This window comes from Homo sapiens, chromosome 1, assembly GCF_000001405.40.
Source record: "Homo sapiens chromosome 1, GRCh38.p14 Primary Assembly".
NCBI classification, from domain to species: domain Eukaryota; kingdom Metazoa; phylum Chordata; class Mammalia; order Primates; family Hominidae; genus Homo; species Homo sapiens.
The window spans coordinates 84,943,462-84,957,539 of NC_000001.11; the positions used below are offsets into that span (position 1 = coordinate 84,943,462).

The 14,078-nt window shown below is 41.4% G+C and overlaps 1 protein-coding gene across 8 annotated transcripts in view, besides 3 other annotated features; it reads right to left on the reverse strand.

Annotated features, from left to right (window-relative positions):
* Window positions 1-14,078, reverse strand: part of MCOLN2 (mucolipin TRP cation channel 2) — a 71,531-nt gene that overhangs the window by 17,879 nt on the left and 39,574 nt on the right. For all 8 annotated transcript variants that reach the window (XM_005270719.4, NM_153259.4, NM_001330647.2 and 5 more), the window contains 4 exons: window positions 12,970-13,123; window positions 8,985-9,069; window positions 8,782-8,878; window positions 3,572-3,671 (listed from right to left, as the gene is read on the reverse strand). In XM_005270719.4, the coding sequence (XP_005270776.1) occupies window positions 3,572-3,671; window positions 8,782-8,878; window positions 8,985-9,069; window positions 12,970-13,123 (436 nt within the window). The remainder of the gene's footprint in view (window positions 1-3,571; window positions 3,672-8,781; window positions 8,879-8,984; window positions 9,070-12,969; window positions 13,124-14,078) is intronic.
* Window positions 1,505-1,799: an enhancer, noted in NCBI's record as "tiled region #13288; HepG2 Activating non-DNase unmatched - State 4:PromP". NCBI's record gives its function as "activates a minimal TATA promoter and a strong SV40 promoter by Sharpr-MPRA in HepG2 cells {active_cell/tissue: HepG2}" and the evidence as "EXISTENCE:reporter gene assay evidence [ECO:0000049][PMID:27701403]".
* Window positions 4,569-4,618: a silencer, noted in NCBI's record as "silent region_1026". NCBI's record gives its function as "represses an Ori minimal core promoter by ATAC-STARR-seq in GM12878 lymphoblastoid cells {active_cell/tissue: GM12878}" and the evidence as "EXISTENCE:reporter gene assay evidence [ECO:0000049][PMID:35858748]".
* Window positions 4,689-4,888: an enhancer, noted in NCBI's record as "active region_1260". NCBI's record gives its function as "activates an Ori minimal core promoter by ATAC-STARR-seq in GM12878 lymphoblastoid cells {active_cell/tissue: GM12878}" and the evidence as "EXISTENCE:reporter gene assay evidence [ECO:0000049][PMID:35858748]".

Sequence of the window (14,078 nt, forward strand, 5' to 3'; positions counted from 1 at the left end):
TGGAGCAGAAAGGCCAGAGGAGAAGCAAACAGAACCAGGGACAGGCGACCCTCAGAGAACAGACTGCGGTCAGAGTCTTCCACAGCAACACCTCTGCAGAGACAGCATTGAAGAGAAATGCCAGAGTGTCTATGGACTTAGTAATGCAAAGATGTGGGTGACACTGGCATGAGTGTCTGAGGGCAAAGCAGCTCCTACAATGGGTGGCGAGCAGAGACAGCCAGCTGGTAAATGCAACTCTCTGAGCAAATGATTTCATCTTACTAAGCTTCAGATGTCCCACCTACAAAATGGGGAGGGCAAGCGTACTGGTTCCTGAGGCTGCCATGAGAATCAGGTGGAACAGTCTGTGTGAAGTGCTTGTTACAGTAGTGCCCAGTGCCTAGCACTTACATTTACCCTTAGCCATTTACACTCAAGAAAGTTATCTTGAGGTATCATCTAATGGGTAGGTAAGAAAACAACTTAGCTCTATCATAATGCAAGATTTTTTTTCCCCTTGGATCCATGGAATGGGGCAGAGGAAACAGAGGCAGCTCTTGGGAAGATAAGACTGAAAATCTTATGAAATGCAAGGACAGCATCTAGTACCTTCCTTTCTGACATAAAACTAGAACACAAATCTCTAAGACAGTTTGCATTGGACCTTGTTTACAGATGGGAAAACAAGCAGGCTTAGAAACAGAAACCAGTCCTCCTAACAGAATCCAGTATAGGATTCTGTTTTTCTTTGAATTACTGAGAAGACTAGTTCTATGGTATGCTAAAAATATGTATTTTATGAACATCTTGGCCAGGCGCGGTGGCTCACGCCTGTAATCCCAGCACTTTGGGAGGCCGAGGCGGGCAGATCATGAGGTCAGGAGTTCAAGACCAGCCTGGCCAATATGATGAAACTCTGTCTCTACTAAAAATACAAAAAATAGTCGGGCGTGGTGGGGTGTGCTTGTAGTCCCAGCTACTTGAGAGGCTAAGGCAGAAGAATTGCTTGAACCCAGGAGGTGGAGGTTGCAGTGAGCAAGATCGTGCCACTGCACTCCAGCCTGGGAGACAGAGCGAGACTCTGTCTCAAAAAGAAAGAAAGAAAGAAAGAAAAAAAACATCTATATCACCCATCACTGGGGAATCCCGCCAAGAAGGAGTCCCCCAATTCCTCCCCAAGCCCCTCATCTCCAAATTCCTATATTTATGAAACCAAGTTAAATGAAGACATGGCACATTTAGAGAGGGGACTTCGGAGTCACAAAAGGCAGCATGAGGTTTGTATGTGAAAATGGACATTCACCTGCATTTGCTTCAATATGGGTAATGACAAAGGAGAGAGGAGCCTGGGGGTAAGCGTGTGGGTGTGAATGAGCCTCTGAACTGTTAGAAATAGTGTAAGTGTCCCACCAGATGTCGCCCTTGTCCTTGCCCACTTCCCCCAAAGCCAAGGCAATCTCAATCCACCAGACAGCTTCATATAGGGGAAAAAGTCCATTTCCTAAGATGGTTTCCAAACATAAGTTTTTTAAGGCTTTCACATCACATCATCTTATTTTAAATTCACATTCTCCTAGTGATAGAACCTGGTTTCTTAAGACACAGCTCTAGGAGAATATGTAAATCTTAAAAGAGCTTTTACCCAGTGGTCTAGGAGGCTTGTGTTTCTCCTCATTGGCCACAGGAGGGGGCTAGAGATACTCTCTTCTGAGCACAAGCAAGGAAAACCCCTAACGTTGCAAGGAGGGCAGCAGGCGGAAGGAAAAACTCACTGTTCTGGAAATGCATTTGACTGACTAGCTTGGAAATTTCCATCATTTTGATCTTTATAATGATATTCCAAATCACATATTTGACAAAGGTTAGTTTCTTTTCACAGAAAATTGGCAACCTATACTTGGACTTAGAAAATATGCCCCTGATCTCTGCGTATCTGTAAGAGAGTGGTGTATGCTGGGGAATAGTAACCACTTTTTAACAGAAACTGAAACTATAATCGGTGGCTTAAGTCAGTCAGTGAAATTATTGAAACCAAAACTTCAATCGTCAGGACATATTATACATCTGAAAAGCAGCAGGCCACAAATCAAATATACTTTAAAACAAATATAAAACAGAAGCCACAGGTATTTTACATTTTATTTCATTCTGATAACCTGGTCAAAAGGAAAGTCATTTAAACAAAATCTGCAAAATAAAAAACACTGAGCATCCATCATTAACATCATCCTAATTCTTTACTGAGCAAACAGAACAGGTTCCATAGGTAGCCCATGATATTTTATTTTATTTTAATTTTTTTATTTATTTTACTTATTTTTGAGACAAAGTCTCACTCTGTTGCCCAGGCTGGAGTGCAGTGGCATGATCTCGGTTCACTGCAGCCTCTGCCTCTCAGGTTCAAGCAATTCTCCTGCCTCAGCCTCCCAAGTAGCTGGGATTACAGGTGCATGTGCCACCATGCCCGGCTAATTTTTGTGTTTTTAGTAGAGACGCGGTTTTGTCATGTTGACCAGGCTGATCTTGAACTCCTGACATCAAGTGATCCACCCGCGTAGGCCTCCCAAAGTGCTGGGATTACAGGTGTGAGCCACTGTGCTCAGCAGTAGCCCATTTTAAACATGTGGATTAAGAGATGTTTTTTGAGCAATGACTGAGTAAATGACTCAGCATTTGCAGCGGTTGCTGTCTGGGCTCTGAAGGCCCTGATCCTTCCCCACTGTCCAAGGCTCAGATCAAAGCATACCTTCTCCAAGAATCATTTCTTTTCCTACTCTGCCCCACTCAAACTTATTACCTTTGCTTTTTTTCTCCTCATACTTTTTGTATGTATACCCTTATTTCTCTCCATAACACATCACAGATTTTATAAGCACGTCAGTCTCTCTCACTAAGGCATTTTCTTCCTTTTCCCATAATGCCTAGCAATTAATATGTGCCAACTCTTGTGTTCAGTGCTTTGCTTTATATACTAATTCATTTAATATTCAATATCCTGGAAGGTAAGTTTAGGCTGAGTATGCCCTATCCAGAATGATTTGGGACCAAAAGTATTTCAGATTTCTTTTGATTTTGGAATACTTGCATTATACTTACAGGTTGAGCATCCGAAATCCAAAAATTCAGAATCCAAAATGCTCCAATAAGCATTTCCTTTGAGCTTTGGTCATGTCAGTGCTCAAATGTTTCAAATTTTAGAGCATTTTGATTTCAGATTTTTCCGATTTGGGATGTTCAACCTATACTATTACTCTCATTTTACATAGAAAGATACTGAGACAGACAGGTTAAGTAACTTGTACAAGATCACAGGCACAGTAAACAGAACTGGGACCGAAACCCAGGCAATCTGGCTCCAGAGCTAAGCTCCTAACCACTGAGTCATGCTACCTCTTCTAAGAGGCATATAATAAACATTTGCTGAATTAAACAAAAATACAAGGCTTTGGGATATTCTTTACAGGATCTAATGCTCGAGGCGGTTTTCTTCCTATTATCATGCAAACAAACCATTTAAATACCCCAAGCCACAAAATAAAGTGTTAAAAATCATCTATAATTCCCATGGGCAAGTATATAGCATACTTACTAGATCCAAATATGTTCAAGTCTTTACATTCTTCAATTTTGGCATCACTGTCAAAATAGATTTTGATTTTGCCACTGTGAGCTTTATTGTCAAAGATAATCTGGAGACACAAATGTATAGCGAGATTACAACACAGAAGAAAGTATAACATGTTAGATCAAATCTGCTTAAAAAAAAAATCACTGGCATCCAGTGTGCTGATCCAAAGAGAATTACACAGGCCAGCAAAATGGCTGACTAGAATTACTTGACACTCATTTCCTGCACCCCCCACCACACACACACACACACACACACGGGACCAAAATAATGAATAAACAACTATATTTTGACTGAAATCACTAAAGAAGTACACTGGAGAGCACCAGGGTAGCAGGAAAATCCTGTGGAGCATGAAAGCCCAGGACAGCAACATAGGAAGGGGAGCAAGGCACCCTGCCTCTGCCACACTGTCTCCCCAGCCAGGATCAGCTTAGAGCCAGGGGAATCTCTTTGGATAGGAAAACGTTAGGCTAGAGACTCTGGTGGTCCTCATTATGGCCACAGAATGCCAGCAGTCCTTGCTACAGGAGAGCCCTCCAGTCCTCACAGGCTTTGAATCCAGTTTGGAGAGGTGCCGGGAGTTCATACAGCCATGCTGCCCCAGAGTGGAAGCACACATTGCGCACTCTTCACCTCTGTGACCTAAGCTGCTATGGCATGACACCATTTAGAGACCAGATGCTAACAGAGTGTGTTCTGCCCTGGGGGCCAGTACTCTTTGTGTCTCTCCATCCCTGAAGTCCTGCCATTATTCTACCATGTTCACAAAGGTGCCTGCAACACCATGACACTGGCTGCCTAGAGCCTAGACCTGATGGAACATCTGAGACCCTGACATCTGAATCCATGCAGCACCCCTTCCTGCCCCTGCCCCTGGGAACAGGCAGAAGTGCACAGCAGGAAGCTGCCAAACAGCTGGCTGGTGTGCTGTGCTTGTGCACACTTGGGCCACACAGTTGGCTGTCTCTCCACACCCACACAGGCCTGACAGCCAGTTCAGCTGTAACTTCGCATCTCTAAAGAGCCTGCCTCACAGCCTACTGGCCCCACCACAACCATGCACACCTGGCCTGACAACCAGCTGGGCAGCAATTGCCCCTACCCAGTTGAAGAGCCTGCCACACAGCCTGCTGCTTATCATGTATGCACATGTCCAGCCCGACAACAAGTCTGGCATCCCTGCCTCCAGCAAAACTGTGTCATTGCTGTTAAAAACTCCCTCAGCTTAGGCCACTGAGCCAATCACAGACATCACTGACAAGGAGTACAACTGAACAAACTGCATGGACACCATACTACTGAGTCTGCCCAGAACCAAAGCCACTATAACCAACCAACACCCTAGGGCCCATCTACAGGAAAAAGTCTATCCCTGTGAAAGCTATTCCATAAAATTGGAAAAAGCAACTATTTCACTAGATGCATAGATAACAATGTAGGGACACAAGAAACATGAAAAGGCAAGAAAACATGGCACCCAAAAGAACATAATAATTCTCAAGTAGCAGACCCCAAAGAAAAGGATATTCATTAAATGCCTGAAAAATTCAAAATAATGATCTTAAGAAAGCTCAGTGAGATATAAAAGAATACAAACAATTCAATGAAACCAGGAACATAATTTATGATTTGATTGAGAAATTCAACAGAGAGACATAGCATAAAAAAGAACCAAACAAAAATCTTGGAGCTGAATTATTCAATGAGTGAAATTAAAAAATTACAATTGAGAGCTTCAACAACAGACTACATCAAGCAAAGAAAAATGAATTTCTGGCCGGGTGCAGTGGCCTGCCTGTAATCCCAGCACTTTGGAAGGCCAAGGCAGGTGGATCATTTTAGGTCAGGAGGTTGAGACCAGCCTGGCCAACATGGTGAAACCCCATCTCTAATAGAAAATACAAAATTAGCTGGGTGCGGTGGCAGGTGCCTGCAATCCCAGCCACTGGGGAGGCTGAGGCATGAGAATCACTTGAATCTAGGAGGCGGAGGCTGCACTGAGCTGAGATCACACCACTGCACTCCAGCCTAGGCAATAGATTGAGACTCTGTCTCGATAAAAATAAAGTAAAATAAAATGAAAAGAATTTCTGAACTTGAAGACAGGTCTTTTCAAATAACCCAGTTGAAATCTTCTCAAGTCTTGGGAGAGATATGGACATCCAGATCTAGGAAGCTCAAAGATCCCCAATTAGATTCACCCCAAAAAGATTCTCTCCAAGGCCCATTATAATCAATCTGTCAAAAGTCAAAGACAGAGGCAATTCTAAAAGCTGCAAATAGGCCGGGCGCGGTGGCTCACGCCTGTAATCCCAACACTTTGGGAGGCTAAGGCAGACAGATCACGAGGTCAGGAGATCAAGACCATCCTAGCTAACACGGTGAAACCTCGTCTCTACTAAAAATACAAAAAAAAATTAGCTGGGCGTGGTGGCAGGTGCCTGTAGTCCCAGCTACTCAGGAGGCTGAGGCAGGAGAATGGCGTGAACCTGGGAGGCAGAGCTTGCAGTGAGCGGAGATTGTGCCACTGCATGCACTCCAGCCTGGGCAACAGAGCAAGACTCCGTCTCAAAAAATAAAAATAAAAAAATACTGCAAGAGAAAAACATCAAGTCACACATAACAGAATCTCCATTAGACTATCAGAACATTTCTCAGCAGAAACCAGGCAGGCCAGGAGAGAATGAGATGATATATTCAAAGGGTTTAAAGAAAAAAAAAAACAACAAAACTGTCAGTCAAGAATACTATATCCAGCAAAGCCATCCTTCAGAAATGAAGAAGAAATAAAGACCTCCCCAGACAAGCAAAAGCTGAGGGAATTTTCACCACTAGACCAGCCTTTCAAGAAATGCTTGAGGGAGCACTAAAACTGGAAATGAACAATAATTATCATGAAAACATGTGAAAGCATAAAACTCAACAGTAGAGGTAAGTTTATAATCAAATTCAGAATACCCCAGTATTGGAATGGTGCTATATAAATCTCTTAGTCCTCTAGTATGAAGGTTTTAAGTCAAAATTGTAAAAAACAAACACAAGTACAATTAGAGGCTAAGGAACTCACAATAAAGACATAAATTAAGGCAACAAAGAGAATTATGCCAATGAAAATGTTCACATCACAAGATTTCTTCACAACTTTCTGTTATTAGTGAAACAAATATGATTGAAAGGGCTAATATGTGAAGTTTTACTAAATACAGGATATCAGATATCTGGTTCAGAGAAATCCTAGAGAAAAACAGACAACCAGTCCTAGGAATAAAAACCAAAATTAACTAACCTTTGAAAGAACACAAATGATCTCATTTATTATTCTGAATTGAATTTAAAAGCATTTCCTTCAATTTAGTTCTTTGGGTATGAAATTCTAGTTTTTGTTAGGCTAGAAATTATTTTTCTATTTGTTTCAAGAGCTACATATAATGTTTTCAGAAAGAACAAAGATTGCTCCAAGACTGCAGGCTGAACTTAAGATGTCCAAATGCCCTCAATCTTCTACCTTATGAAATTTAAATCAATCATTTAAATCATTTACAGTTTATAAGTGATATATGCCAAGTACTTATTAGGGTGAACACATTAAGAAAACCAAAAAGTTCACTGGCAGAGCTTGGAGAGCCGGATATGTAGGTGATCAAATCCACATGCACCTGCCTGTCTCTGAACACAAGCCAGGTTTGCCCAAGATCACACACTCAAACCAAAGGTTTGAGAATTAAACCATACCATCCTCATTTCTATACCTGTAAGTTATGATTAAACCTCCATTAGCACTGGCACTCAAGATCTCTGTTTCCCCCAGGAGAGCCCCTAAAATGCTTTTCTCAAAGCAGACAGAAGTCCAAAGAACAAAATAAAAATGAAAAGCCAATATTTTTAAACCCACACTTCCGACCATATCATGACAAAGTCATCAATGACCTCATCCTTGCAGACCAAACTCCATGCTCCTCTCCTGCCTTTCTCCTCATCCCTGCAGATGCTCCCAGTGCTCCTCTGGCCCACCCACCCCAGAGAGCTTGCAGCTGGAGACATTCTTCCTTACCACATATCACAACCTGTAGTTACTTTTATTTCGTTTACTTGTTTTTCTGTTTCCCCTACTAGGCTGTAAGCTTTCCTGAGGGCCACTGTGCCTCTAGGGCATAGCAAAATGCCTGGTGCATAGTATGGACTCATTAAGTATTTATTGATAGTTGAATGAAACACTCTTCTGAATTGCTAAAGGACAGTATATACAACTTTCAGCTAGGCATTCAGTTTAGTCCCTTAATGAACAGGGAAGGCAGGGAGGGAGAAAAAGAAGGAAGGCGAGAAGGACAGAGAAAGTCTATGAAAATGAGAAGGCAGCTTACTTCCCCATAAAAGTGAACTGTCTCTTCTACTATACATGCCCCCTCCCAAAATAAAAAGAGAAACAACTGCTCCTTTGCAGACTGGTCTTCACATCAGTGGAGCAGTTTATGCCTCGAGGTTTGAAAATATTTGCTATAACATTTGCAAAGACCTTCCTCTAAAGCTGGGAAGAACACTATAGACATGTAAAACACCTTCATAAACATTTTAAAAAATGTATTAGGAGAGTAGAAAGTCAAAGCCAATTTTTTAAACTCTTCTTTTCAATGTAGAAACTTGGTTTTTAAAAGTTGAAAAGGGTTTGCTTCATCTTCAGAAGTAATGGTCTCTGGATCAACAATAATACCATAATGAGGCTGGGCATGGTGGCTCATGCCTGTAATCCCAGCATTTTGGGAGGCCGAGGCAGGCAGATCACTTGAGGCCAGGAGTTCGAGACCAGCCTGGCCAACATGGCAAAACCCTGTCTTGTCTTTACTATTAATAAAAACACAAAAAAGTTAAGCTGGGTGTGGTGGCACATGCCTGTAATCCCACCTACTTGGGAGGCTGAGGCATGAGAATCGTTTGAATCTGGGAGGCAGAGATTGCAGTGAGCTGAGATCACGCCACTGCACTCCAGCCTGGGTGACAGAGCGAGACTATGTATTAGAAAAAAAGAAAAGAGTATCATATTGTATCACTAAATCTGTTTTAAACATGACTGCATTTAACACATCTGTAGGCTGCTGTGTTTTATACTCTGCATCAACAAAAAGTGTAGGAAAAAAATAAAAGGAAGTAGCTAGTAAAACAAAGATACTTGCCGTATTCTGAAAGACATAACAGTCTGGTAACTCACGGGAATGAATTGTCTGTAGGTCAATGCCTTTAAGATGAAAGGAGATTTCAACCTGTAAGAGCCTGAATAAAATATATTGAAAGGTATAAATTGTCATAATCTTACTATATACTATTCTCCTTCTCCCACCCTCATCTCTTAGGGAATAACACTTTAAAATGTATTTACCGATAAAATTCCAGTCTGAAGAATGATGAGTTCTTCCAGTCCGGAGGCTTCTTGGAGAGGTCCTGAAGGTCTAATTGAACACAATCTAGGGCAATGAAAGAACAAGAAATGGTTGTTTCAGGCAAGAATTAGGTGCTAAAACTAATGGGTGAAAGTGTGACAAGAAGCAGGTTACTTACGGAGTTTCAAAGTATCTCCCTAGAAAATACTTAGCAATTATTCAGGAAAAATGATAGTAACCTCACAGACACCTGTCAAGTGAACCTGGCAGACACCACACTAACCAAGTGATCAGTTACATCACAGTAATGAGATAAACAGACATGTACCTCCTGATACAATGAACTGAGAAGCATATGACATCACTTGTGTGGTATTCCTGCCAAAAAATGTATAACTTCAATCTAGTCATGAAGAAACAGAAAAACCCAACGTGAGAGACATTCTACTCTTTAAATGTATCAAGATCATAAAAGTTAAACAAACAAAAACCAAGAAACTTTAGACTGAAAAGACATAACATGACAACTAAATGCCAGATGTTATCCTGAATAGGATCTTGGAGTTGGGTGCAGTTTTCATTTTATGATAAAGAACATTAGGAAAATTTATGAAATGTGAATAGGGTTTGTAGAATATAGTATTGTATCAATGATAACTCATTATTTTGAGCACTGTATAGTGGTTGTGTAGGAGAATGTTCTTGTTTTGGGGAAATGCACACTGAAGTATTTAGGGGCAAAGGAATAGCATGTCTGCACCTCCAGGAGAAATATTTATGCATAGAAAGAATGATCAAGCAAATGTGATAAAATGTTAGTATTGGCCAGGCACGGTGGCTCACACCTGTAATCCCCGCTCTTTAGGAGGCCAAGGTGGGCGGATCATGAGGTTAGGAGTTCAAAACCAGTCTGACCAACATGGTGAAACGCCGTCTCTACTAAAAATACAAAATTTAGCCGGGCGTGGTGGCGTGCGCCTGTAATCCCAGCTACTCAGGAAGCTGAGGCAGGAGAATTGCTTGAACCCGGGAGGCAGAGGTTTCAGTGAGCCAAGATTGCGCCACTGCACTCCAGCCTGGGCGACAAGAACGAAACTCTATCTCAAAAAAAAAAAAAAAAAATGTTAGTATTGGGGAAATCTGGATGAAGGCTATACAGGAAATATTTGTGCTATTTTGTAACTTTTCTGGTAAGTCTGGCACTTTTTCAAAGTAAAAAAATAGAAAGAAAAAGAACACAGGTTGTATTCAAGTAAAAACAGATTATGAGCTGTAAATGATAGAAGAAAGATTCCAAGAACCTCACATAAAAATTAGTCTCATTATTGTGTAGGCTAACACCCTTGTTTTACAGGGCAGGAAACAAGGAGCTCTAAAGACAAGCACCTTTCAGGGTCACAGAAACCTAGTGACAGAACTGGTATGAAACCAGCATGGGTGACCCTTGCCCAGGCTGTTGCTGCCCCTTCCATGCTGACTTTGAAATGGAAAAGTTGGGGCCTTGTGCAGTGCCTGGCACCTAGTAGGTGTTCATGAATCTTGGAAAACTCACTGGCTGATTCTTCAAAAGTGTTATTCCACAACTGCAACTCTTCATTTGCTTATTTATCCTTCCAACTAGAGTATAAGGTCTTTGAGATCAAGAGCACAACTTTATTGCACCTTGCTAAACGCCCATTGCCTAGCATGTAGCTGGCACTCAAAATATGTCCTGATACACGGGATACACTTACGTTTAATGAAAATTAGATGTCCTGAGCCAGAAACAGGGCCCAGAGCTAAACAGACAACTCAATAGACACAATATTTTTAAAAGATAGTTGCAGAGAGTGTGTCTCCCTGTGTTTGGCAGATGGAGTATTACACAACTCAATACTGGTTTTCCTGACTAGACCTTAATTAGTACAGTGAGGGAAGTTGGTCAAAAGAAACTTGTTTCTGGCAGGAAAAGACTGATGATAGAAATAGCAAAAACATATTGGCACTTAACTCCATACCAGACACTGTGCTGGACTTTATATATTCTCTCAATTAATGCATCATCTCATTTAATCTTCAAAGCAACCTTGTGAGATAGGCACTATTAGTGCCATTTCACAAATGAACAAACCAAGGCCCAGAGAGGCCAAGAAACTTCCTCAAGGTCACACAGGTAGCTACTAGGTATCCAAAAGTTAATTCGACTTGTGCTTGGTTCTAGAGCCTGAGCTCAACCAGTGCACTGAGGAGGTTGACCTCTGAGCACATATTTTAGAAGAACATCAAAGACCCAGGCTCCATACCCAACTCATTCGTTTATTCAGTAAATATTTGCTGAAAGCCAGGCACTGTGCTAGGCACTGAAGGTAAAGCAATGAACAAGACAGACATGGTTACCATCTTCATGGAGCTCACATTCTAGTGGGGGAGATAACAGTAAGTAAAAATATATACAAGGTAATTTCACAGTGTGAGAAGTACTATGAAGATAAAGTGAACAAGAATAACTAAGAGGGTGATATGGTTTGTCTGTGTCCCCAACCAAATCTCATCTTGAATTGTAGTTTCCATAATCCCCACATGTTGTGAGAGGGACCCAGTAGGAGGTAATTAAATCATGGGGGCAGTTACCCCCATGCTGCTGTTCTTGTGATAATGGGTGAGTTCTCATGAGATCTGATGGTTTTATAGGAGGCTTTTCTCACTTTGCTCTGCACTTCTCCTTCCTGCCACCATGTAAAGAAGGATGTGTTTGCTTCCCCTTCCACCATGATTGTAAGTTTCCTGAGGCCTCCACAGCCCTGCAGAACTGTAAGTCAATTAAACCTCTTTCCTTTATAAATTATTGCGTATGTCTTTATTAGCAGCATGAGAACAGACTAATACAGAGGGGGAGTCCACCTTAGGAAAGATAGTTAGGGAATGGCTTTCACGGTGCGAAACATGTTTGAACTGAAACCTTTTTCCTGAAAGGAAAAAGAACCAGCTATGCATAGATCCAAACAGGAAAAAAATCAAGCACTAAGACCTCCAAGCAAGAAAGAGCCTGGCTTGCTCAGCAAACAGAAAGGATGTTACAACAGAGAAATGAGGACAGGGGTCTGGAGAGGCAGGCAGGGGGCTAGTTTCTATAAGGACTTGTGGATTTTATTCTAAATGGGATGGGAAGCCACTAATGATTTTTAAGCCTGGAAGAGATATGACCTGATTTACCACTGCGGTTTCTGCAGGGCAGGGCAGGGGCTCGTAGAGGCAAGACCAGAAGCAGGGAGACCACAAGTAGTGGCTTGGATGACAGTGGTGGCAGTGAAAATGGGGAAATTGGCAACTTCAAGTACGGGGCTTGAATAACTGGGATTATTACAGTATGATATGAAAACATGATGACTACACACCAGAGGTTTGTTGAGTGAACAACAAAACAATAAAATAATGAAACATTATTTTAAAAAACAAAAAGTCTTAAGCCAAACACCTCGTATTTACATACAGTATGCTCTTAAATTCTTAACAAAATAGCACAAAACAATTCGACTTGATTAGCCATTAACTTGTTGCCAAGGGATCTCCTAAGAGAGAAAGTGAGTTGTTAATCACAATTCACCTTTGAAGAGCATTTCTATATTTTACAAATAATAAAAACAAGTGTACAAAACATCTTTATGTATATTATTTCATTTAACACATACAGACCGTTTTTTCAGAAAGCCTAATCACCCCTTCATAGGGAAAAAAAAACAAAAAACAGGACCTGTGAATATACCCCCAAACCAACAATCTTGAGTTGCTCCAAACAGATCCACAAATGCTGTCCCTGTCCCATCGCCACAACCCCACAGTTTCCTGAGCCAAAGCCCCTCTGCAGGCCAGTGTTGGAGTGTCAGCCCCTAACAGGTTAGCTCTCACCAAAGCAAAGTTTTTCCATCTGGGTTGCTAGCACATGAGGGCATTTCTGCTCTTACCAGAAGACGATAAAGGTACATCATGAAATTATCACTGCATTACCGAGCTCAACGTCGTTGTCAATATTCAGTGTCTCATTAGAAGGAAACATGGTCCCTTTCTTGTAATGCTGCTTACAGACTTTTAAGCCAATTCTATTGTCTTCATTTTCTCCATAACCAAGGGTCCCCAGGGTAATGTCCTTTAGCTGATGATACTATTAAAAAATAGTCAAGTAAAAACCACATATGACCTTTTATAACTTTGATCAGAGGTTATAGCATATAGAATGTACTTTCAGTTACTTTGTATTGTTTACATCATGGCTCTCAATAGAACTTCCCAATTTAAAATACTACAAAGAAATCTTCTCAGTTTGTTCAGCAAGACACTGCCTCACAGAACTCGAAACAAAACAAGGTGATGGACAGCTCCCACCTCACTCAGCCAAAGCCAAGGTCCTGCCTTATCTCTAGGACCTCATCTACTCCAGTCCCTTGGCTCCAACCTGCAAAGCTGCACTGCCCTCCAGGCAGTTCCTGGAGCTCACACGCATATTTTTGCCTCTGGCCTTTGCTGTTCCCTCTGCCTGGAGACCCACGTACATACCCGCTCGGTTTACTCACTCCTTCAGCTCTCAATTCCGCACCTCAATGAGGCCTTCCCTCCCCAAGCCAAGGAAAATTGCAAACATATATCAAAACATCACATTGTACCCCATAACTATATACTGTGTGCAATTATGCCCTGTCAAATAAAAATAAAATAAATGCAGTAAAAAAGAAAGAAAGAAAGAAAATCACAAACATCCATCACTGCACCCAGGTACTTCCCATCTCCTTCCCTGCTTTACTCCTTAGCAGTTATTACTTTCTAATATCTACTGAGGACATGAGCCATCCACACTCCACAGCTTACATCAATGACTAACATGAACCAACATTAGCTTACCTCAGCTTACATTAACATGGCTTTACTGTTGGCTATCTGCACTAATAGGGCTTTACTAGCTCTGTCTTCATTAATACGACTTTACTATTCCTGAAAATTTTTGCCCTGGACCATAAAATTCCCTCTATTATTTCAGGAACATCCAAAAAATTCATTGAAATAGATAACAATTGGAAGATTTTGTCTGAAAACAACTCCAAGATTCTTTGAAACTGCCTTCC